This window comes from Homo sapiens, chromosome 1 (genome assembly GCF_000001405.40).
Source record: "Homo sapiens chromosome 1, GRCh38.p14 Primary Assembly".
NCBI lineage: Eukaryota > Metazoa > Chordata > Mammalia > Primates > Hominidae > Homo > Homo sapiens.
Window position 1 is genome coordinate 226,072,105 of NC_000001.11, and position 25,852 is coordinate 226,097,956.

Here is a 25,852-nt window from a genome sequence, read left to right on the forward strand (position 1 = left end):
ATTGAGAGAGAAGGAAAGTATAGACTTGGTGGCAAAAGGAACTTGGCTTTATTTCTAATTTTTAGAAGCTTGCCACTACCCAGTGGTCTTAACTCTTTGGATGTGTTGTCTTCTGAACCAATAATTCGAAAAGCTAATCAACAGGATCACCTGGAAATAGTGGAATCTGTAAGTAGATTGAACTTTCATGAATGTTTAATAACAAATGAGAGTGTGTAACAGTCTTTAGCTCAAAAATTAATGCATTCAAGATCTGGCTATTTTAAGATGCTCTATTAGTTAACCCTGAATTTATTCAAGCACTAATAGTTAATTCTTAGCCCTGTTTTATTTAGTGTTGGTACAATTAATGTGAAATGAGGATAATTAAACCTTCTAAGACTTTTAACACATCCCATTAGTTGTAACGTTTGAGTGTTTGAAACTGCCCTAGAAGTGATACGAAATGTTAATAACTATGCCAAGAATAGACGCATGTCAGTAAGATACGACACTGGGCTTGCATTCTTACTGCTCTTAAACATTTAGCCATAACTTAATCTTTTGACTATAGGTGACTATAAAATTCTTTAATGGGAGAATTAATTACTTTAAGAGGCTGATTTTGTTAGCATGCATCCTAGTTTTCAGTATGATCTTTTGCATGTACTTCTACAGGGAAGTACGGGTAACACTTGGAACTTTCTCAATATAAGTTACTAAAAGCCAATTGTAGTTGAATGTTCTCTGTTCAATCCAGTTTTTCAGTGCAAAAGACCAAATGGCCTTTTCATGAAACACTTCAGAAGAAAAAGGTGTCTCCAGTAAGGGAGGAAGTTAATGTTACCTGCTGGAATCTGATAAAGACCAGTTATTTACAAGTAGACAATACAGTCCTTTGAGTTCTTGGAATCCTAAAATCTCGAAAAGTTTTAATGCTCTAAAAGTACATTTTTTATTGCCCCATGAAGTGGTTGTTAACAATTCTTTTTTTAAACATAATTTCAATGTTTAAACAAATATTTAGTACTATGTGCTCACTGTCCAGGTATAATACAGTAAGTTGTACATTATAAAATGAGCCAGATAGAAAAAAGCACAAAGATAAACTTGGCACTCAACGTATGTACACAAATGTCTGGTCAATTTATTGAATTGTCTCATACAATGCTATGTTAATATTGGGCATGTATTCTTATATATTCCTAGTTTACCAGGACCTGACAAATATGCATAGTAGTTTTGAGCTCAGGGCTATCCTTTGACTCAGGTGTAAGTGGATCTGCCAGCTCTTTAATCCCTGGGTTAATGCTCGGTAACTGTTAGGCTCATAATCCTCTTTCCTATGATGCTTCAGAGTTGCTATATGGCAGTCCCACCCAGAAAAAAAACCTAGAGTGAATTGGAATTCGGCCCAAAATGTATGGAGACTAGCTAGAATTACCACTTTGTTTCAGCTTTTCAATAGCAAAGTAAATAGCCAACAAACACCTTCTAAGATTCCAGAAAAGTTCACTAAAGTCTAAGTTAACGGATGAAAAACCCCAGAAAATTATATTTTAAGATTAAAAAAAAATTTCAGGTAAACGTCTTAGGAAAATCGGGAATACTATGGAAGAATCTTTAGGAATTTGAAAACATCCTCTTAAGCAAATGGGGGGAATCTCAGCTATTATGAATAGGTGGGTGCTTGAACAATGCCCAAACTCTTGCCTTTTCTTGACAGTCCAGAATCTTTAAGAGGAAATACATTCAAATTTGCAAATAAATCAAGGGCCTGCCAAATGCTGAGGATGCAAAAGTATGCCCCAATTCAAAATTTAATTCTCAACAACTGTGAAGTGGGTACTATTGTATGCTCTATTTTACAGGTAAAGAAATGACGAAAGAGGTAGACTTTGTCCCCAGGTAGGCTAAATCGAAGACCATTCTCTTAAGTGATACATAGAATAAATTAGAGCAGTTAATTTTGCCAGGGATTGTAGAAGTTGAAGTCTTGGCAGTAGTAGAAACAAATGGGGGTTGGGAGGGAAGACAAAATTAGGATTGAGGGTGATATTTTAGAAATCATAAGAAAAGCCTGTATGCAGTCAAAACCATGCTGCTCATCACCTGCTCAGTCATAACCTACCCCCTTTAATTCCACTCTCATTACCTATTCCTTTAGGCTCTTCCTCCAAAGGGGCATCCAAAACTTTTCACTCCCCACTTCTACTGCCCTAATCCAAGCTGCTATTTGCTATTTTCTTTACTTTTCTTTTTTTTTTTTTTTTTTTTTTTGAGACGGAGTTTAGCTCTTGTTGCCCAGGCTGGAGTGCAATGATGTGATCTCGCCTCACTGAAACCTCCGCCTCCCGAGTTCAAGCAATTCTGTCTAAGCCTCCCAAGTAGCTGGGGTTACAGGCGCCCATCACCATGCCCAGCTAATTTTTTTGTATTTTTAGTAGAGAAGGGGTTTCACCATGTTGGCCAGGCTGGTCTCAAACTCCTGACCTTAGGTGATCCCCCAACCTTGGCCTCCCAAAGTGCTGGGATCACAGGCTTGAGCCACCGCGCCCAGCCCAAGCTGCTATTTTCTCACCTAGACTCTTGAAATAATTTAAATCTATCTGCATCCATCCACTGTTACTCTCCTCTGGACTCCTCCGCACAGCCTCCAGATAAACTTTTAAAACGTAAATTGTTTCAGGTCATTTCCCCACTTAAAGATCTCTAACGGCTTCCCATTGCACACTGGATGAAATCTAAACTACTCACTGACTCAGGAGAAACCTAATGTGATCTGACCTTACCAATCTTTCCACCACTTAAGTTCCAGCCAAACCCTCTGCTCACACACCCTTTTTCACATTCCTTAGTATTTACCAAAAATCTGAAATTATCTTGTTAATTTGTCTTTTTTTTTTTTTTTTTTTTGAGATGGAGTCTCTGTTGCCCAGGCTGGAGTGCAATAGCACAATCTCAGATGACTGCAACCTCTGCCTCCCGGGTTCAAGCAATTCTGTCTCAGCCTCTCAAGTAGCTGGCACTACACGCACATGCCACCACGCCCGGCTAATTTTTGTATTTTTAGTAGAGACGGGGTTTCACCATATTGGTCAGGCTGGTCTTGAACTCCTGACCTCAGGTGATCCACCTTGGCCTCCCAGAGTGCTGGGATTACAGGCATGAGCCACTGCGCCCGGCCATTTATCTACTATTTTCTTGACTGCTCCCACTAGAATGCTACAAGAACGGGGGTTCGCACTATTTCCCATTATAGCCCCCATGCTGATATATAGTAAATCTGAATAAAAATCTGTCAAATTAATGCTAGAATGAATGAGTGGTCCTGCTCACCTCCATGTCAACGTTAAGCTTCTGTAAACTTAATATATGGTAACTGATTTGTTATTTTGAGGATTAAATGAAAGTAGATACAAAAACACAAGGCCTGGCTGGGTGAGGTGGCTCACGCCTGTAATCCCAGCACTTCAGGAGGCCAAGGTGGGAAGATCACGAGGTCAGGAGTTCAAGACCAGCTTAGGCAACACGGTGAAACCCCGTCTTGACTAAAAATACAAAAATTAGCTGGGCATGGTGGTGCGTGCCTGTAATCCCAGCTACTCAGGAGGCTGAGGTGGGAGAGTCACTTGAACCCAGGAAGTAGAGGTTGCAGTGAGCCTAGATCTCACCACTGCACTCCAGCCTGGGCCACAGAGCGAGACTCTGTCTCAAAAAAAAAAAAAAAAAAAAAAAAAAAAAGCAGAACACAATAGTAAGTGAACTAGAATCTAAAATTCTGATAAGGCAAGCCAACATACATACTGTTCCTTGCAGAATTGTAGGGCAAAACCTGGTTTCAAACTTAACTTTCCAAGTAGCATCCCTACTGAATTAGGTATGATTCTTATGCTAGTGAATATTAGTCTCAAAGTGAAATAGATCCTGCAGGAGCTCGATTTTATGGAAAAAAGTGAAATAGGACTAGGTGGGTTACAATTTTATCATGATAGCAAATAAATCAGTAACAACATAAGTGGTGAAACTAGTTAAGAGGCATTCTCAAAAGTCATTATGAATACTTTTTTTTTTTTTTTAAACCACTAGCTAGCTACTTGGGAGGCTGAGGCAGGAGAATTGCTTGAACCCGGGAGATGGAGGTTGCAGTGAGCCGAGATCACGCCACTGCACTCCAGCCTGGGCAACAAGAGTCAAACTCCGTCTCAAAAAAATTGAGCCACCACATCTGGCTAATTTTGTGTTTTTAGTAGAAATGGGGTTTCACCATGTTGGCCAGGCTGGTCTCTAACTCCTGACCTCAGGTGATCCACCCGCTTCAGTCTCCCAAAGTGCTGGGATTACAGGCCCGAGCCACGGCGCCTGGCCTGGAAATTATTTTTTTAAGGAAATAATTATTTGCAGTGTAGTTCCACAGTTAAGAGTTCAGGCTCTGAGCTGGGCGTGGTGACTCACGCCTATAAGAGGCTGAGGCAGGAGGGTCACTTGAGACCAGAAGATTGAGACCAGCCTGGGCAACATAGTGAGACCCTGTCTCTACAAAAAAAATTTAAAATAACCAGATATGGTAGCACCCACCTGTGGTCCCAACTGTTCAGGAGGCTGAGGTGGGAAGATCAGTTGGGCCCAGGAGGTTGAGACTGCAGTGAACCATGATTGTGCTACTTGCACTCCAGCCTGGGCAAGAGAGACTTTGTCTTCAAAAAACAACAGTAGCTAAACTGCCTCTGTACTAGCCGAGTGACCTCGGGCAAATCACCCAGTCCCCCTATGCCTCGTTCATTCATTCATTCATTATTTATGGAGTACCTTCTATGTACCAGACACTGTTGTGGGGACACAGAAGTGAACAAAGTTCCCTATTGTTATGGAGCTACATTGTAGTGGGAAAAAACACAATAAAGATGAAGTAAATGCAGACTCTCCTTGACTTAGGATAGGGCCATGTTCCAGTAAACTGACTGTAAGTTGAAAATACCCTAAATCGACAATGCATTTAATACACCTAACATACCCAACATCACAGCCTAGCCTAGCCTACTTTAAATGTTCTCAGAATGGCCAGTCATGTTGGCTCACGCCTGTAATCCCAGCACATTGAGAGGCTGAGATGGGCAGATCACTTGAGGTCAGGAGTTCAAGACTAGCCCGGCCAACATGGTGAAACCCTGTTTCTATTAAAAATATAAAAATTAGTCTGGACGCGGTGGCTCACCCCTATAATCCCAGCACTTTGGGAGGCCAAGGTGGGTGGATCGCCTGAGGTCAGGAGTTCGATACCAGCCTGGCCAACGTAGCGAAACCCCATCTCTACTAAAAATACAAAAATTAGCTGGGCATAATGGCACACGCCTGTAATCCCAGCTACTCGGGAGGTTAAGGAAGGAGAATCGCTTGAACCCTGGCGGTGGAGGTTGCAGTGAGCCGAGATCGCACCACTGCATTCCAGCTTGCGCAACGGGAACAAGACTCCATCTCAAAACAAAACAAAAATTAGCTGGGCGTGGTGGCACGTGCCTGTAATCCCAGTCACTTGGAAGGCTGAGGCAGGAGGATTGCTTGAACCCGGGTTCAAGCAGAGGTTGCAGTGAGCTGAGATCTTACCACTACACTCCAACCTGGGTGGCAGAGTGAGACCCTGTCTCAAAAAAAAAAAAAAATGTGCTCAGAATACTTAATATTAGCCTACAGTTGGGCAAAACCATCTAACAGCCTTTTTGTTTTTTTGTTTTTGTTTTTTTTTTTTTTTTGAGATGGAGTCTTGCTCTGTAACCTAGGCTGGAGTGCAGCGGCGCAATCTTGGCTCACTGCAACCACCACCTCCTGGGTTCAAGCAATTCTCCTGCCTCAGCCTCCTGAGTACCTGGGACTATAGGCACATGCCACCACGCCCAGCTAATTTTTGTGGGTTGTTTTTTAGTAGAGACGAGGTTTCACCATATTGACCAGGCTGGTCTTGAACTCCTGACCTTGTGATTCACCTGCCTCGGCCTCCCAAAGTGCTGGGATTATAGGTGTGGGCCACTGCGCCCGGCCTATTTTTTAAATAAAATGTTGAAGAGCTCATGAATACTAAACAAAGTGACAAACAATGGTTGTGTGGATACTCCAAGGACAGTTTCTATTGAATGTGTGTCACTTTTGCATCATCGTAAAGTTGAAAAATTGTAGATCGAACCATCATAATTTGGGACCAACTGTACATAATTTATCAGATAGTGGTAAGTGCTAAAAAGAAAAAAAGAATGTGGATAACAAGTGTTGTGGACTCGGGGGGGAGATGTTGGAAGTTAGCGTAGCCATGGGAGGCATCACTGAGGTATCTTTCGAGTCAAGTCTTGAAGAAAATGAGACAGCAAGCCACACAGATGTGAGAGAAGAGTATTTCAGGTCCTATTAGGGGTCCCATTGGAGGAGCCAGCCTGGTATGTTCTCGGAACAACAGGGAGGTGAGCATGCCACAGCAGAGCAAACGAGCAGAGAAGCACGGTGGGAAACCGGAGATGTAATGGGAGTCAGAGCATGTAGCGCTTTATAGGTCCTGCAAGGACACTGAGTGAGACGGGAAACCTCTGGAGAGTTTTCAGCAGAAGGATAAAATGGTCTGACTAATGTTTTAACAAAATCACTCCAGCTGCTGTCTGGAGAATAGACCGAAGGCAATAAGGGTAGAGCAGAAAGGAAAACCAATTAAGCTATTGCAGTAACCTAAGTGTGACATGATATAGCGGCTTGGACTTGGGTGGTGGCAGTGGCAGTGTGCAAAGTGGCATTCTGGATATTTTACAATGATAGGAGGATGGCTAGGACTTAATGGATGTAGGCATGAGAAAAAAAAAGGGAGAGGGGGCGGTTAATGGGGCCAGGGTTTTGACCTGAGCAACCGCATGAAGTTGCTATTGCTTCACTTAGGGAAGACTGTGAGGGAACAGGTTTGGGAAATATAAGGAGCTCAGTTTTGGACGTGTTAAGATTGAGATGCTTAATTAGACTTTTTATTGATTTCATGGAGACTATTGGATATGAACCTGGGGTTTAGGAAAGAGGTTTGGGCTGGAGATATAAATTTGGAAGTCATCAGCATGGTCTTAAAACTAGCTGAGATCACCAAGGAAGCAGGTGCTGATAGAAATTAGAGAGGAAGGCCGGGCGCGGTGGCTCACGCCTGTAATCCCAGCACTTTGGGAGGCCGAGGCGGGTGGATCACGAGGTCAGGAGATCGAGACCATCCTGGCTAACAAGATGAAACCCCGTCTCTACTAAAAATACAAAAAATTAGCCAGGCGTCGTGGCGGGCGCCTGTAGTCTCAGGTACTCGGGAGGCTGAGGCAGGAGAATGGCGTGAACCCGGGAGGCGGAGCTTGCAGTGAGCCGAGATCCTGCCACTGCACTCCAGCCTGGGCAACAGCAAGACTCCGTCTCAAAAAAAAAAAAAAAAAAGAAAAAAGAAAAAAAAAAGAAATTAGAGAGGAGCTCCAAGGACTGAGGAACTCAACATTTAGAGTTTAGAGACTGAGTGACAGCTCCAAAGAAGACTGAGAAGAAATAGGCAGAGAGGAAGAAAGCCAGACATATGTGATCATCTGGAATTCAAAAGAAGAAAGTGCTCCAATGAGGACGAAGTGATCTACGGTGTCAAATACTACTAAGTCAAGGGGAGCGTGAGGTCTGAGAATTGACCATTGAATTTCTAGAGGTCATTGGTGATCCTAATAACAGTTTTGATGAAATAGAGGGAACAAAACCTGATTAGAGGGAATTCAAGAGAAACTAGGCTTTAATCAAACGATGAAACTTCATGTCATCAAAAAGGAGACAAACTGACATCGTACTGAGGACACATCACCCAAACTTTTAGCCAAAATGTTTAAACTGAATATAATAAGGATAAAGAAACAACCTGATAAATCCAAAGTGTAAGACACTGGGCCGGGAGCAGTGGCTCACGCCTGTAATCCCAGCACTTTGGGAGACTGAGGCAGATGGATCACCTGAGGTCAGGAGTTCAAGACCAGCCTGGCCAATGTGGTGAAACCCAGTCTCTACTAAAAATACAAAAAATTAGCCAGGCATGGTGGTGTGCGCCTGTAGTCCCAGCTATTCCGGAGGCTGAGGCACAAAAATCACTTGAACCCGGGAGGCGGAGGTTGCAGTGAGCCGAGATCCTGCCACTGCACTCCAGCCTCTGTGACAGAGCAAGATTCCATCTCAAAAAAAAAAAAAAAAATTAGCCAGGCATGGTGGCACATGCCTGTAATCCCAGCTACTCGGGAAGCTGAGGCAGGAGAATCACTTGAACCCGGGAGGTGAAGGTTGCAGTGAGCTGAGATCACACCATTGCACTCCAGCCTGGGTGACAGAGCAAGACGCCATCTCAAAAAAAAAAAAAAAAAAAAAAAAGGCCGGGCGTGGTGGCTCACGCCTGTAATCCCAGCACTTTGGGAGGCCGAGGCAGGTGGATCACGAGGTCAGGAGATCGAGACCATCCTGGCTAACAAGATGAAACCCCGTCTCTACTAAAAATACAAAAAATTAGCCAGGCATGGTGGTGGGCACCTGTAGTCCCCAGCTACTCAGGAGGCTGAGACAGGAGAATGGCGTGAACCCGGGAGGTGAAGTTTGCAGTAAGCCGAGATCGTGCCACTGCACTCCAGCCTGGGCGACAGAGCAAGACTCCGCCTCAAAAAAAAAAAAAATTAGCTGGGTGTGGTGGTGTGGGCCTGTAGTTCCACCTACTGGGGAGGCTCAGGTGTGGGATTCCAGATCACCTGAGCCCAGGAGGTAGAGGCTGCAGTGATCCCTGATCAGGCCACTGCACTCCAGCCTGAGCGACAGAGTGAGGCCCCATCTCAAAAATAAAAACAACAAACAAACATAAAAGTATACTTTAAGGGAAGAAACATAACAAGAGGTAAAGAGGCCATTTCATAATGCTAAAGGAAGCAATCAAAAAGGAAGACATCACAATCCTAAATCTGTATGCACCTAACAGCACAGGTTGAAAATATACAGAGCAGAGAAAACTAAAAAGAGAAGTAGACAAATTCACAATCATTGTGGCAGACTTTAAAATATATTTTATATCAGCTGAGAGAAAAAACAAGAAGTAAAGATATAGAAGATTTGAACAACACAATTAACAAACTTCATCAGCTAACATATATAGAGCTCTGAACTCAACAACTGAATTCATTCTTTTCAAATTCACAAGGAAAATTTTTACCAAAGTTGTTCACATGCACAGCTGATAGAAAGCCTAACAAATATTCTTAACTGCAGTTACGTAGAGTATGTTCTTCAATCACAATGGAATTAAGATAAAATTAATAGAAAAATACAACTAGAAACAGACCAGCTGCCTGAACATAAAACAACTAAATAATTCATAGTTAAAGAAAACAATAAAATACGGATTTTTTGAGCCCAGGAGTTTCAGTCCTCCCTGGGCAACATACTCTAAAACAAAACCCAAACAAAAAATTTTAAAAAGAAATACCACATAACCATCAAAAAGACTGAGGCAGGGCTGAGCATGGTGGCTCATGCCTGTAATCCCAGCACTGTGGAGGGCGAAGCAGGCGGATTGCTTGAGCCCAGGAGTTCCAGAACAACTTGGGGCAGCATAGCAGAACCCATCTCTACAAAAAATACAAAAATTAGCCAGGTGTGCTGCTGCGCGCCTGTAGTCCCAGCTGTTCAAGAGGCTGAGGTGAGAGGATCGCCTGAACCCGGGGAGGTTGAGGCTGCAGTGAGCTGTGACCGCGTCACTGCACTCCAGCCTGGGTGACAGAGTGACACCCTGTCTCAAAAAAAAAAAAAAAAAAAAAAGGGCCGGGCGCAGTGGCTCACACTGTAATCTCAGCACTTTGGAGGCCGAGGGGGGCGGATCACAAGGTCAAGAGATTGAGACCATCCTGGCTAACACGGTGAAACCCCGTGTCTACTAAAAATACAAAAAATTAGCTGGGCGTGGTGGCGGGCGCCTGTAGTCTCAGCTACTCGGGAGGCTGAGGTAGGAGAATCGCTTGAACCCGGGAGGCGGAAATTGCGGTGAGCCGAGATCGCGCCATTGCACTCTAGCTTGGGCAACAAGAGCGAAACTCAGTCTCAAAAAAAAAAAAAAAAAAAAGGCCGATCCAATTTGTTAAATGTGTGTATGTATGTATTTTTAGTTTTTGAGACGGAGTTGCTCTGTTGTCCAGGCTGGAGTGCAGTGGCACAATCTTGGCTCACTGCAACTTCTGCCTCCCGGGTTCAAGTGATTCTCGTGCCTCAGCCTCCCGAGTGGCTGGGACCACAGGTGCGTGTCACCACGCCTGGCTAATTTTTGTATGTTTAGTAGAGACAGGGTTTCGCCATGTTGGCCAGGCTGGTCCCAAACGCCTGATCTCAGGTGATCCGCCCGCCTCATCCTCCCAAAGTGCTGGGATTACAGGCGTGAGCCACCACGCCCGGCCAGTTTCAAACATTTGCAAGGTCTATATGTTGTATATGAATTAGTAAAAGAAACATTACACATCAAACCTGTGATTTCGTATAACACCTCTAAATTTGAGTCAATTAAAACATCGTAATAATAAGAGTTCAGTTTTACAATTAGTGCTGGCAAGGCAAAAATAACGAAAGTGGTAGGAGGTCCGGGGATTATGTGAGAGAACGCATGACAAATGTTTAGCACAGAGCCGGGCACACACAGTGAGGGCTCAATTCACGGTGGATTTTATTTGGTCATCATCATCACATTTGGAGCTGAAATAGAACAGTTCTGATTCCAAGTGAAGGGGAGGTAGAGTGGAGGGGGTGGGGAGGGCTAGCTTGGATTTCTGCTAAGATGTCACAGCCTCGGATACCCTCAAGGCATGCCATGCCCGGGCTTAGCTGGGTGAGGGGCCTGTGAAGCTTGTTGGTGTGTAAGAGACCTCGGTGGCATCACTGTCAGCGCAGCCGAAGCCACCACGCTAGCTCCAGACTGGTCAGCAGATGGCCGCGCACCAGGCCCTTCCTGCGGCCCGGGCGACTCGTCTCTTAGTGGAGGAAGTAGCCGGCCCCGGACACACTCCTGAGGAGCGCTGCCCGCAGTCTCGGGAAACGGGGCGTGGGGCCAGCTGCTCCTTCCAACTCCTCCTCGGGGGCAGCATGAGGGAGGGTCGCTGTCAGGGCCTCGAGGACTAAGGGTTCAGGGTGCCCGCCGCTCGTCCCCTCCCCCCTCCCCCCCAGGTCGTGGAGGCCGGTCCCCAGCATCTCTCCAGCGTCCCCACTGTCGTGGCTCCGGGGCGGGCTTCTCCCTTTTCAGGCATTTCTGAAATCGCCGCCTCACCCGGGCTCTCTTCCTCCGGCTCGCCCTCCCCAGCCCCAGGTGCCAGAGAGAACTTTCCCCAAAACGCGAAACTGATCCTTTCAGACGCCTCGCGTTCGCCCAACAGCACCTCTAGCCTCGGTCGTTGTCACGTGACGCGGCCCCAAGGCCCAGGCCACGCCCCCGGAGCTCGCCACGCCCACCGGGTCCGCCCCCACGCGGCCGCCTGCACAGGGGGTTCCAGCCACCCGCGCTCTCCCAGGTTTGCCGACCTTACGGGCCCTTCTCCGCCAGCCCTGGCTGGGTCACCCCCACGACCCGGGACTCCCCCGCCGTTCCCTCCCGGGCTGCCTGCAGTGAGGTCCGCTCCTGAGGCCTCAGCCTCGCCGGGGGTAGGGCCCTCTCCCGCCGTCGCCGCAGCTCCTTTCCGTCCCGGGGCCTGGGGGGCACCGTCCCACGGGTGAGGGCCGCCTCCAGCGCCTGGCCCAGCCATGCGAACGCCTGGAGCCCGCGAGCTGCAGCTGCGGCCCTGAAGGTGCCGCATATCCTGCCGAGTGGGTGAAGCGTGGCACTTTGGAAAACAAATCGGGTTAGTGCTCAGCAGCCTCCGGGCCGATGGGTGGGGATGTCATACTATGAACTGAGAGCCCGCGAGCTGGAAAAAACAGTGCCAGTCCTGCCCGCGCGTCGCGGGACTCAGTAATTCCCGGCTCCGCAGCGCTCGAGCCTGTTCTCCGCAGCTTCATACCCTCTGCCCCGCGAAAGTGACCTCAGGGGCCGGGCGTGTTGGCTCACGCCTGTAATCCAGCACTTTGGGAGGTCAAGGCGGGCGGCTCAGTTGAGGCCAGGAGTTCGAGACCAGCCTGGCCAACAGGGCGAAAACCCATCTCTACTAAAAATACAAAAATTAGCCAGACGTGGTGGCGCACACCTGTAACCCCCAGCTACTCAGGAGGCTGAGGCAGGAAAATCACTTGAACCCGGGAGGCGGAGGTTGCAGTGAGCCGAGATCACACCACTGCACTCCAGCGTGGGTGACAGAGCGAGACTCCGTCTCAAAAAAGAAAGAAAGAAAAAGAAAAGAAAAAAGTGAGGCCGGGCACAGTGGCTCACGCCTATAATCCCAGCAATTTGGGAGGCCTAGGCAGGTGGATCACGAGGTCAGAAGTTCAAGACGAGCCTGGCCAAGATGGTGAAACCCCGTCTCTACTAAAAATTCAAAAATTAGCCGGGCATGGCTGGGCGCAGTGGTTCACACCTGTAATCCTAGCACTTCAGGAGGCCAAGGCAGGTGGATCACTTGAGGTCAGGAGTTCGAGACCAGCCTGGCCAACATGGTGAAAACCCATCTCACTAAAAATACAAAAATTAGCCGGGCTTGGTGGCAGGCGCCTATAATCCCAGCTACTTGGGAGGCTGAGGGAAGAGAATCACTTGAACCGTGGAGGCAGAGGTTGCAGTGAGCCGAGATCTCACCACTGCACTCCAGCCTGGGCGACAAAGCGAGACCCTGTCTCAAACAAAACAAAATAATAAAATAAAATAAAAATTAGCCAGGTGTGGTGGTGTGTGTCTGTAGTCCTAGCTACTTGGGTGGCTGAGCTGGGAGGATCACCTGCTCAAGAGTTTGAGGCTACAGTGAGCTGAGATCACACCACTGCACTCCAACCTGGGTGACAGAGCGAGATCCTGCCTTAAAAACAAACAAGGGCTGGGCACAGTGGCTCACCCCTGTGATCCCAGCACTTTTGGAGGCCAAGGTGGGCGGATCACCTGAGGTCAGGAGTTCAAGACCAGCCTGGCCACCATGGTGAAAACCCGTCTCTACTAAAAATACAAAAATTAGCCAGGCGTGGTGGCAGGTGCCTGTAATCTTAGCTACTTGGCAGGCTGAGGCAGGAGAATTGCTTGAACTGGGGAGGCAGAGGTTGCAGTGAGCCGAGATCGCACCATTGCACCCCAGTCTGGGCAAAAAGAGTGAAACTCTATCTCAGAAAAAAAAAGAAAAGAAAAGAAAGAAAAAAGAAAAAGAAGGCTAGGCGCGGTGGCTCACGCCTGTAATCCCAGCACTTTGGGAGGCCGAGGCGGGCGGATCACGAGGTCAGGAGATCAAGACCATCCTGGCAAACAAGGTGAAACCCCGTCTCTACTAAAAATACAAAAAATTAGCCGGGCGTGGTGGCGGGCACCTGTAGTCCCAGCTACTCCGGAGGCTGAGGCAGGAGAATGGCCTGAACGCGGGAGGCGGAGCTTGCAGTGAGCCGAGATTGCGCCACTGCACTCCAGCCTGGGCAACAGAGCAAAACTCCGTCTCAAAAAAAAAAAAGAAAAGAAAAGAAAAAGAAAAACAACAAAAAAATCAGTTTGTTCCATGGGCAGTAGGCCATTGCTGCTCATCTTTTGATCAGAAGCAGTACTGAGTGGAGTATTAGGATGGTGAGGAAGGCATTCTGTTAATCCATGCATGGTGGTGCTGGCAGAAACAAGATGAACAGGCAAAGCAAATCCAGAATATGTGTATAATGTCCTTTCCATGATGGAAAAAGTCCAGTGTAATCAATTTGCCATTAGATGGCTGGCTGGGTCCCCCAAGGAGCCACAGTGGGCTCAGTGTTGGTCTCTGCTATTGGCAGATTAGGCAGTTAGTAGATGACTTACTCAGCCTTGGTGAGGGGAAGTCCATGTTGTTGAGCTCGCGCATAGCCTCCAATCTTGCCACACAGCCTCTTTGTTACATAGGTCCATTGGGCAAGCAATGGTAGCTGGAAAAAGAGACAGCCCGACCTCCAGAGAACATGCTTTGTTCCGCTGATAGTCAAGAGCCTCCTTTGCAGTGATACCCTTTGGTGTGCATTCACATGGGACCCAAATATCTTTATATTCTGGGCCTGTTTGGAAGATCTGTCCACATACTTCTTCCCCAGACCTGCTTGTCACCAATCCTCCTTCCATGTTCTTGCCAGTGAATCTATGTAGATCCCTCCATCTGGCTGTCTCTCCATCCAGGCAAAGTAGACAAACAAATGTGCCTCTTGAAGTTCTGCCCCCAAGGAAGATTTTCTTTCACCACTTGTCCTTCAGGGACACCCTGGAGCGGGGCTGGTGGGCTCCAGCTGTCCACTCTCTGTTGTGCAGGAGCCATCTGTAAACCAAGTCTGGATTTTTTTCCTCCTCAGTCAACTGACACAGGAACTTTTTTTTTTTTTGAGACGGAGTCTTGCTCTGTCGCCCAGGCTGGAGTACAATGGCGTGATCTCGGGCTCACTGCAACCTAAGCCTCCTGAGTTCAAGTGAGTCTCATGCCTCAGCCTCCCGAGCAGATGGGATTACAGGCCACAACGGGCTAATTTTTGTATTTTTAGTAGAGACGGGGTTTCACCATGTTGCCCAGGCTGATCTCAAACTCCTCATCTCAGGTGATCCGCCCACCTCGGCCTCCCAAAGTGCTGGAATTACAGGCATGAACCACGGTGCCCGGCTGACACAAGGAACTTTCTATGAGGTCCTAGGAATGAAGGAAAACAGGCAATAAGGCAAGAATCGCTGTCGAAGGAGTCTGCGCCACCTGCTCGCACAGCTCACTTGTGCCTTCTGAGCCTGCTGGAGCCCAGTGTACATATGCCGTCTCCGCGTGATTAGAGATTGCTGCTGCACGTGCCCAATCCCGTGGCGGGGTGAGTAAGACAACATGCAGTGCACATGCGGCCGCTTCACGACCCATAACTAGGTGTTCTGTTTCTACCAGGGACCAGAAGCAAGCCAGAAGAACAGTTATCTGTGAAACAGGCTGTGCATCTGTTCCCAAACCCTAGAGGCCTGTGCTGTGATTCTCTTACTGGTGCTTCCCAGGGCCTCCATATAGCATCCCCATTGCCACAGACACTCGGATATTGTTGGGTCTGTGGATGATAAGGGCCAAAAGAAAGAGCAGCTTGCACTGCACCCTGAACTTGCTACAGAGCCTTCTCTAGTCCTCACTCAGATTTATTTATTTATTTTTTAAATTAAATTTAATTTTTTTTGTTGTTGTTGAGACGGAGTCTCGCTCTGTCACCCAGGCTGGAGTGCAGTGGCGCGATCTCGGCTCACTGCAAGATCCGCCTCCCGGGTTCATACCATTCTCCTGCCTCAGCCTCCCGGGTAGCTGGGACTACAGGCGCCCACCACCGCGCCCGGCTAATTTTTTCTATTTTTAGTAGAGACGGGGTTTCACCGTGGTCTCGATATCCTGACCTCGTGATCCACTCTCCTCGGCCTCCCAAAGTGCTGGGATTACAGGCATGAGCCACCACTCCTGGCCTCAGATTTATTTACTTAAGGTATTTCTTTAAATTGACTCACTATTTTTTACCTAAATAAATTCAGCCTCATCCTAAGCAATGATATCTCCGGTGAGGTGGTTATATTTTTTCTTACATAGGTGATAAGTAAAATAAATACTTCAGATTTAAAATTGGGTGGGTGCAGTAGCTCATGCCTGTAATCCCAACACTTTGGGAGGCCGAGGTGGGTGCCTGTAGTCTCAGCTACTCGGGAGGCTGAAGCAGGAGAATCACTTGAACCCGAGTGAGCCGGAGATCGTGCCATTGCACTCCAGCCTGGGTGACAGAGCAAGACTCTGTCTCAAAAAAAAAAAAAAAAAGAAATAGAATAAAATAAATAAAAGGCAATAAGCCGGGCACCATGGCTCATGGCTGTAATTCCAACACTTTGGGAAGCTAAGGCAGGCAGATCTCTTGAGGTCAGGAGTTCGAGAACAGCCTGGCTAACATGGTGAAACCCTGCCTCTACTAAAAATACGAAATTAGCTGGGTGTGGTGGTGTGCGCCTGTGATCCCAGCAACTGGGGAGGCTGACGCAGAGAATCACTTGAGCCTGGGAGGTGGAGGTTGCAATAAGCTGAGATTGTGCCACTGCACTCCAGCCTGGGCAACAGAGTGAGACTCCATCTCAAAAAATAAATAAAATATAATAAAAATAAAAGGCAATAAATGTCTGCTTATCAATTGCTCATAGGAGGTTTGCTTTTAGAACCCATGCCCCAGGCTACGGGAAAGCCACGCGTCCATACAGAAAGGCCGTGTGTAGGTGTTTTAGCCACAAGACCAACTAAAGTCCCAGCCAACAACCTGCAATGACCAAACAGGTCACTGAGAGAGCCCTCAGATGATCTCAGCACCCAGGCTTTGAGATGCTTGAGCTGATACTGAGCAGGGCAGAGATAAGGTGTCTCCATCAAATGTTACAAAAATAGTAGATCTGTGAGCAAAATAAATGTGGTCAACATTTTTTCTTTTTTAATTTTTTAAAATCACAACCCTGCTCACCTATGTTGTCAATATTTAACACTAACAATTTTGAGATGTTTTATTATGCAGCAATAGACCACTGGTACAGGAGCCCTCTTCTCTCCCTAGATTCTCTCTTCTTGGCCTTACTGCTTGTCCCCACTTCTCTGTCCCCAGAAGCACTCGGCATAATCTCTTCAATGACACCAGCTCTGAGAAAACTAAAGCCAAAAGCCAAAAAATAAAATGTAGTAAGCTGCTAGTTATGCCTCAAAATATCTTCTCCCCTCCTTCCTAATAATTGAGGTTTTGTTTGTTTGTTTGTTTTTGAGACGGAGGCGCACTTTGTCACCCAGGCTGGAGTGCAGTGGTGCGATCTCAGCTCACTGCAACCTCTGCGTCCCGGGTTCAAGCGATTCAAGTGATTCTCCTGCCTTAGCCTCCCGAGTAGCTGGGATTACAGGTGCCCGCCACCATGCCTGGCTAATTTTTGTATTTTTTCTATTTTTAGTAGAGACGGGGTTTCACCATGTTGGTCAGGCTGGTGTTGAACTCCTGACCTTGTGATCCACCCGCCTCAGCCTCCCAAAGTGCTGGGATTACAGGCGTGAGCCACTGCGCCTGGCCACATACTTGACTTTTAAATAAGCACACATTACTCTAGAGAGAGAGCGCATTTCTAACTAGATGTATCTATATGATGCATCCATATGATGCAATTCCAGACAATGGAATGTAAGTGTGAGTGATGTGTGTCATTTCCAAGCCTTGGCCATAAAATATGAAGCACATGCTTTTCTAAATTCTTTACCTTTTCCATAGGCTGGAACACAAACGGGGTGGTGTTCCAGCTGCAACCATGCAGATGAAGACTATACCCTAGGAGATGGAGGAACAACAGACAAGAAAGAAACCTGGGTTCCTGAATAACCACGTGGAGCCAAGCAGCTTACTTATCTCAAGCCACTGTTGCCCACCTCCAGATTGGTTCGTGAGATAGAAATAAGCTTCTATCCTTTTTGCATGACTGCATTTTGGGGTCTGTGTTATAGCAGCTTAATCTCTATCTGAATTATATTGGATTTAAGTGTCTGAAGCCCAATGACTTAACCTTTCCTGAGGCAAAGGCACAGAAGAGCCTATTTTCCAAAAATGGGAAAACGAAGACATAGGAAGGAAAAACCCAACAAATGGTCAGGAAATTATACTGCTATAGGCTCTTCTCGGATGAGTGTCTAGTCCTAATGAGGGGGCTGTGGGAATTCAAAGACGGAGAAACTGCCTTCAGATAGAGCTAGTAGGGAAGACCCCTGCAGACAGTGACATTAAATTGAAGGTAGAATTTGGATAGATGGACATGGGGAGGGCAATTCAAACAAAGGGAACTTGAGCAACAGGGTGGAGGTAGAAAGGTGCCAGATCTTTTGGGAGATGCAGAAGTGATATCACACAGTTTAAAGCCAGAGTTAAATATAAACCGATACTTAGAAGCTTAAATTCAACATGGCAAATTCACAGGTTTAGTTTCCTAAAAGATTTTTCATGTTTTTATTACAGAACTGTCTGCAAACAAATCTTTACTTGATGAGAAGTTTAAATATAATTAAATCTAGAATATTACATGAATATTTTATTGCTTTATTAAGTCCTTCAAACAACACATTTATTTATTTATTTATTTATTTATTTATTTATTATTTTTTTTGAGACAGAGTCTCACTCTGTTGCCTAGGCTGGAGTACAGTGGCACGATCTCAGCTCACTGCATCCTCCACCTCCCAGGTTCAAGCGATTCTCCTGCCTCAGCCTCCTAAGTGGCTGGGATTACAGGAGTCCACCACCACACCCAGCTAATTTTCAAACAACACAGTTTTTAGAGGTATAATTAACCTCTTTAGAATATTACCTCACAACAGAATAAACAAATCAAAAACTTCAGATATTCTTTCTAAAGACCCCCTTAGTCAGTAATATCTATAATCACATGACAATGAGTGACACCATGTGATAGTGGCCCGAAGGCTCAATGATGCTGGCCATGCAACTCACTTACTTACCCTCCTCTGGCAACAGATTTTCTTTTCTTTTCTTGTTTTTTCTTTCTTTCTTTTTTTTTTTTTTTTGAGATGGAGTCTCGCTCTGTCATCCACGCTGGAGTGCAGTGGCACGATCTCAGCTCACTGCAACCTCTGCCTCCTGGGTTAAAGCGATTTTCCTGCTTCAGCTTCCTGGGTAGCTAGAACTACAGGTGCCCGCCACCACGCCAGACTAATGTTCGTATTTTTAGTAGAGACAGGGTTTTACCGTGTTGGCCAGGCTGGTCTCAAACTCCTGAGCTCAGGTGATCTGCCCACCTCAGCCTCCCAAAGTGCTGGGATTAAAGGCATGAGCCACCATGCCCGGCCTGGCAACAGATCTTCTACCCACAAGGAAGGGCATGTCCTCCAGGGCTGGATCCTTGAGGGACTCGTTCCCCAGGCCACAGTGACGGGCCAGAGATGGGCATGTGATCCCAGCAGGACCATTCAGAATTCTCCCTTAGAATTGATGCACAGAGGTAGGAAGAGAGGTTTTTCGGATTACTTCACTCCTTGGACTATTAAGCGGGGGTTGCCTCATGGAGGAACAGAGCCTGCTGGCAAAGATGAGCAGCAACAAAAGACGGACAGAGACTTAACTGTGTGGAGTCCCCTTTCAGGGTCCCTGCAGCTCTTCCTCCAACCCAAAGACCTAGTCCGAGGATCCTCTCCCATTACCAAGCCAGTAAATTTCCCTTTGAGTGGGATTTCTGTCACTTACAACCAACAGGCCTAACACAAGAGTGAACTGTAAGGGAGACCTCTAAGGCCAGCCACTTAATGCCATATCTCATCAAGATGCCCTTGATTGTAAAACATACCATCATTTTATGTACCATGAGGAAAGGGGAAAATGCTGTAAGTAAGCTATGACAAGCCACTGATTATGAGATGCATCCCAGTTTCAGAAGCATGAAAATATGGGAAAAATGTGCTTCCTAGGCCTGATGAAATATTGCAGCTGTGTGCCCTTGGGTGAGTTACTTAATCTCTATGTTCCTTGGTGTCCTCGTCTTTAAAGTGAGGATGACAATGCCCACCTGACAGGATTGTTGTGAGGATTTAGCCTATCTACACACAAATGTTCTTAGTAACATTATTCATAATAGCCAAAAATTGGAAACAAGGCTGGGCACAGTGGCTCATGTCTGTAATCCCAGCACTTTGGAAGGCCAAAGTGGGCAGATCCCTTGAGCCCAGGAGTTCAAGACCAGCCTGAGCAACATGGGAAAACCACCATCTCTACAAAAAATATAAAAAAGTCAGCCAGGCATGGTGGCACATGCCTGTAGTCCCAGCTACTTAGGAGGCTAAGGCAGGAGGATCACGTGAGTCCCGGAGGTTGAGGCTGCGTTGAGCCATGATCACATCACTGCACTCCAGCCTGGGCAATAGAATGAGATCCTGTCTCAAAAAAAAAAAGGAAACAACCTAACTGTCCATCAACTGGCGAATGGATAGAGAGAATGTGGTACATCCACACAATGAAATACTACTGAGCAATGATAAAGAACAAACTACTGATACATGCTATGCCATGGATAAGTCTTGCAAATGCTACGTGGAGAGAGAAGCCAGACCCAAAACAATGCATACTGTATGCTTCCATGTATTTATTTATTTATTTTATTTAGTGGGTTTTTTTTTCTTTTTTTGTGACAGAGTCTTGCTCTGTCACCCAGGCTGGAGTGCAGTGGTACAATCTCAGCTCAGTGCAACCTCTGCCTCCCGGGTTCAAGTGATTCTCCTACCTCAGACTCCTGAGTAGCTGGGATTACAAGCACGCGCCACCATGCCTGGCTAATTTTTTTGTATTTTTAGTAGAGATGGGGTTTCAACATGTTGCCCAGGCTGGTCTGGAACTCCTGACCTCAAGTGACCCACCCACCTCGGGCTCCCAAAGTGCTAGGAATACAGGTGTGAGCCACCGTGCCTGGCCTGTTATGATTCCATTTTATGAAATGTCCAGAAAAGACAAATTTAGAGACAGAAAATAGATTATGGAGCTGGGCACTGCAGCTCACACCTCTAATCTCAGGACTTTGGGAGGGTGAGGTGGGAGGATTGCTTGAGGCCAGGAGTTCAAGACCAGCCTGGGCAACATAGTGAGACCCCATCTCTGCAAAAAAGAAACTAGATTAAAGGTTGCCTGGAGAAGGGGGAGAATGGGGATTAACAGTAAATGGGACTGCAGTCTTTTATTGGAGTCATGGAAATGTTCTAAAATGGATTTATGGTGAGGGTTACACAACTTGGTAAATTTACTAACAATTCACTGAATTGTACACTTGAAATGAGTAAGTTATACAATATGTAAGATATACATCAATAGTGGTATTAAAAATAGATGTACAATGCCTAGATGAGCTGCTTAATATGGTGTGTGCTTAAGAAATCGTGACTCACTTCAGAGCTGCTCTGGCTTAGATTCCTAAATCCATAAAACTTCCCTTTCCTGGTCTCCTGAACGGGTGAGTTTTCTTTCCTTTTACATCCTGCACCAGGACCTCTGTGGAGGGTATCAAGAAGAAGCCCTGCTTCTAGAAATTATTAGTCAGTTAAGCTGTCAGGATCTTACAAGGAGACAGCAGAAGAGAGCGCCTCTGTCTACAGGGAGCAGAGGTAGGGGATTTCAGAAGGCTGGGAAACCTCGCCCTTCAGTTCATCCTCCACCCACCACCACCATCACACACACAAACTAGGAGCCTATTGACCTACCGCTTCCCAGATCTGTCCTGGGGTCAGGAAAAGGCCGCAGAATCATAAAGAAATGAAGCTGATTTCACTTCCTGGATCACCAGTTTTGTTCCCTCAGCACGACTCCCTGAGAGTCTTCTCTCCAGCCTAACCATGCACTTTTCCAAGCGTCGAGATGCTTAGAAACTTCCAAAAATACTTGACCACAGTGCCAGAAAGACATTTCTAATAAAACTTGCCAGCAAAGGGCTGGGAAGACCCCAAGTGTCTCTTGTCAGGGAAGCTTTATAGACTTAGCTCCTGGGAGCCAGCTGGGCCCTGGCTTGCTAGACCACCCTGCAAGGGCTTGGCCTCTCTCCCCAGCCCCTGCCAGGCCTGCTGGAAGTAGTGGCTGGAAAGAAATGGGGGCTTTGGGGTCAGGGAGCCTGTGTTCCAACTCCGGCTCCCCTTGCACTGGCTGTGTGGCTTTAGGCATGTGACTGAACCCCAAGAGCCACAGTTCATTCAGCAATAAAATGAGAGCTTCTGTCACCACTGCCTCTCCAGAGGCTGCTGTCGATTAATGGAATGTCATGGGTGATTGCATCGGGAATGGGGGGCGTCCAGTAAAGGCAGCTTCCTGCCCTAGGCTTCTTCCTGGTGCCCACTGGAACTGCAATTGGACCTGGCTGCCTCCGATTTACCGAGGCTCCATTTTATTTATTTATTTTTAAACTTATTTTAAAAGTAGAGATGGAGGCGGGTCTCCCTATGTTGCCCAGTCTGGTCTTGAACTCTTGGCCTCAAGCTATCCTCCTGCCTTGGCCTCCCAGGTGCTGACATTTTAGGTGTAAGCTACCGTTCCAGGCTGAATTTACTTTCTTTGAGACTGTGGCAGATGCGCTTGAAGCCAGCAGCAAAAGCAATGCCCATGGAGTGGTTTGGGCTGAAACTGTTCAGCCATTCATAGCTCAGCACCGTCTTGGTCTTCCATTACCAGTGGAAGGGTCCAGGGCTCCTGAGAGGCAGCTTGGCCCCATGCAATGGCTTCCTCCACTTCCACAATCCCCTCACCTGGCAGGGAGATAGTGAGCAAGCAAGAAGGGGATTAGCCTCCTGCCTGGGCAGGACCGTGGGGCACAAGGCAAGCTCCAGGCAGGGTTCTTCAGGACAGAGAGGGCAGCACAAACACCAGGCCCTGGCTTGAATATGTGTTTCACCACTTGCTGGCCAGCAACCCTGGGCAGTTCTCTTAACCTCTCCAAGTCTCAGTTATTTGGTCTGTAAAATGGGTATGATTACACCTGTCTCCCAGGGCTGCTGGGGAATGACAGTGTGTAAAGCCTAAGCACAGTGCTAGGTGCATCCCTGGCACCTGCCATAGTTAAGGGTGGGGGGCAGGGCTGGTGGGAAAACAGGATGGGGGAGAGAAAGAGAAGCAGAAGAGGAAAATGCTGGGGAAGGAGAATGCCCTGGGTTTTACAGGGTTCTGCAGTTTAGGGTCATTCTTCTACCCTCTCCCACCTTTGCTCAGGGCTTGGGCACATGCTCTTCCTTCTCCTCCTGTACACTCCTGCCCGCTATCCAGCAAGGCCTCTCCACCCTGAGGAAGCATCAGTTTAAAAACCACCTCTTCAGCTGGGCCTGATGGTGCATACCTGTTAGTCCCAGCTACTCAGGAGGCTGATGTGGGAGGATCACTTGAGCCCAGGAATTGGAGGCTGCAGTGAGCCGTGATCATGCCACTGCACTCCAGCCTGAGCAACAGAAGGAGACCCCATCTCTAAAAAACCACAAGAAAAACAAAACCCCACCTCCTTGAAGAGATCTTCCCTAGCAACCCCCACTCACCTCTAGAATAGATCCCTTCCACCCTGTTTTTCCTTCAGTGTGAGATTTCTAGATTTATTTGTCTGATTATTTGCCCCCAAGACCATCAGCTCCAGGAGGGCAAGGACTGTGTTCACTTTGCTCACTTCTGTATACAGCACCCAGCATCATGCCTGGCACAGAGTTTGGGAAGGGGACGATGATGATCCCTTGTCTGCACCTCAGAGAGGCAGCAGGGACTGTGGGCAGGGACCTCCAGGCCATAAGGAGCTGGAGGGAGTCCTAGAGGGTGGAGGGAGCGAAAGCAGGCCAGAGAGGCAAAGGGGCAGGAGACATGTGAGGGCATTCTAGGTGTGGGGAATGGCTTATGCCACTGTCCAGGTGCATGAACCTATCAGGGAGTTGGGGAAGACAAAACTCTTGGTAGTGGCTGTAGCAGAGCAATGGTGAAGGAGCCAGTCTGCCGCAGCCACTCTTCAGGACTTTGCTTTCCTGGGGCCAGGTTGCAAACAACCTTGAAGCTTGACCAGGGTATGTGGACCTTATCCTAATTTTTATGGGTTTTGTTTGTTTGTTTAATCAGAGACAGGGTCTCTCTATGTTGCCCTGTTTAGTTTCCAACTCCTAGACTCAAGAGTCCTCCTGCCTCAGCTCCCCAAAGTGCTGGGATTACAGGCATGAGCAGCCTGGCCTATTGGAGGTGGTGTGTGTTTGTTTGTTTGTTTGAGACAGAGTCTAGCTCTGTCGTCCAGGCTGGAGTGCAATGGCACCCTCTCAGCTCACTGCAACCTCTGCCTCCTGGGTTCAAGCAATTCTCCTGCCTCAGCCTCCTGAGTAGCTGGGACTACAGGTGCACACCACCACGCCCAGCTAATTTTTGTATTTTTAGTGGAGATGAGGTTTCATCATGTTGGCCAGGCTGGTCTTGAGCTCCTGACCTCAAGTGATCCGCTCGCCCCCGCCGCGGCCTCCCAAAGTGCTGGGATTACAGGTATGAGCCACTTTGCTTGGCCCCTATCCTAGGTTTTTAAGTAGGGAAGTAACATGATCAAGCTTGTCTTGCTCAGAGCTCCCCTCGGAGGAAAGGCTGGAGGAGGTGACTGAAGCTGTTGCCTTGAGGACCCAGTCTGGTCTCCAGCCTCAGTGCTTCAAGGACAGGGTCCTTGCTGTATAGAGCTACTGGTGATTCAGACACAATCCACCTTGTGTTGCCTGCGGCTGACCTCCACTGGCAGGTGCCCTCTCCCTCTACAGTGGAGGTGTATGCGCTCAGGCAATGCAGGCTCAGCCCAGCTGTGGTCCCCCTGGAGGCAGTGAGCCCTTTGAGAGGTCTGAGCCAGGGGTGGTGGTTCACACCTGTCATCCCAGCAGTTTGGAAGGCTGAGGCTGGAGGATTGCTTGAGGCCAGAAGTTTGAGACCAGCCTAGGGAACATAGCAAACCTATCTCTACAAAAAAAAAAAAAAAAAAAATTAGTCAGATGTGGTGGTGTGTTCCTGTAGTCCTACCTACTCAGGAGGCGGAGGTGGGAGGATTACTTGAGCCCAGGAGTCCGAGGCTGCAGTAAGCTAAGGTTGCATCATTGCACTCCAGCCTGGGCAACACAGCAAGACCCTGTCTCTAAGTAAATAAATAAATACATTTTTTTAAATTAAAAAAAAAAGAGAGGGAAATCCAAGCCAAATCCTCCAGGGGTCAAAGTCCTGCTGTCCTCCCCTGCTCTGCTCAACCCCAGCCTACCTCTGTGTGGGGTGGGGGTGTCGGGGGAACCCATGCCGCTGAGCAAGGAGCTCCCTCAGCTGGTCTATTAGTCAGGTGAGGCTAGGTTCTACCGCAGTAAATCAGCCCCAAACTTCAATGACTTCACACAACAAAGTATATTTCTCAATCATGTTATACGCTCAGTGCAGTGGAGAAAAGAGGATGGAAGGGCAGGGCTCTGTTCCACCTAGGGTCTCAGGGATCCAGGTTGCTAGAAGAGCCACCATCTAGACAATCACCAGTCACCATGGCATGGGAAGAGAGGGCATGGAGAACTTACACCTTTTGATCCAGTAGTGACACATGTAAACCAAAAAGTGACTGAGGCAGGTCTCAATTGATTAGAAGCTTATTTAACCATGATTGAGGATGCAAAAAAACCAACAAAACAAAAACAAGTCACAGAAGCATCTACAACCTGTGATTTTTCCAAGGAAGGTTTCAGGAACTTCAGTATTTGAAGGGGAAAGAGCAAGCAGAAGAGGAAAAAAAAAAAAAAAAAAACGGGGTAAGGGGGCTGGGCGTGGTGGCTCACGCCTGTAATCCCAGCACTTTGGGAGATCCAGGCAGGTGGAGCACCTGAGGCAAGGAGTTCGAGACCAGCCTGGCCAACATGGTGCAAACCTGTCTCTACTACAAATACAAAAATTAGCCAGGCATGGTGATGCATGCCTGTAATCCCAGCTATTTGTGAGGCTGAGGCATGAGAATCACTTGAACCCAGGAGGTGGAGGTTGCAGTAAGCCGAGATCGCTCCACTGCGCTCCTAGAAGGGTAGACAATGAGGCAAATGGATACAATCTTAGGTTCCTATTAGCCTTAGTGAATGTACCTTTTACATGTGAAACAGAGGACCAAGTCAATTATGCAAAGTCTTGGGGTAGGAGGAGGGATGATTTCTAGTCTTGTCCTTATCCTGTCCCTGTGAAGATAAGCTGATAATTG

General features: G+C 47.3%; 1 long non-coding RNA gene across 1 annotated transcript, besides 3 other annotated features; it reads left to right on the forward strand.

Annotated features, from left to right (window-relative positions):
- Nucleotides 10,450-11,317: an enhancer, noted in NCBI's record as "H3K27ac-H3K4me1 hESC enhancer chr1:226270255-226271122 (GRCh37/hg19 assembly coordinates)". NCBI's record gives its function as "activates a minimal SCP1, AML or CMV promoter by ChIP-STARR-seq in primed H9 embryonic stem cells {active_cell/tissue: H9 hESC(primed)}" and the evidence as "EXISTENCE:reporter gene assay evidence [ECO:0000049][PMID:30033119]".
- Nucleotides 11,132-11,181: a silencer, noted in NCBI's record as "silent region_1871". NCBI's record gives its function as "represses an Ori minimal core promoter by ATAC-STARR-seq in GM12878 lymphoblastoid cells {active_cell/tissue: GM12878}" and the evidence as "EXISTENCE:reporter gene assay evidence [ECO:0000049][PMID:35858748]".
- Nucleotides 11,292-11,871: a silencer, noted in NCBI's record as "silent region_1872". NCBI's record gives its function as "represses an Ori minimal core promoter by ATAC-STARR-seq in GM12878 lymphoblastoid cells {active_cell/tissue: GM12878}" and the evidence as "EXISTENCE:reporter gene assay evidence [ECO:0000049][PMID:35858748]".
- LINC01703 (long intergenic non-protein coding RNA 1703) lies at nt 11,471-18,185 on the forward strand. Its single transcript, NR_146920.1, has 4 exons — nt 11,471-11,864; nt 14,692-14,949; nt 17,386-17,550; nt 18,121-18,185. It is a non-coding gene; the product is annotated as a long intergenic non-protein coding RNA 1703 (long non-coding RNA).
- The last annotated feature ends 7,667 nt before the right edge of the window (nt 18,186-25,852 follow it).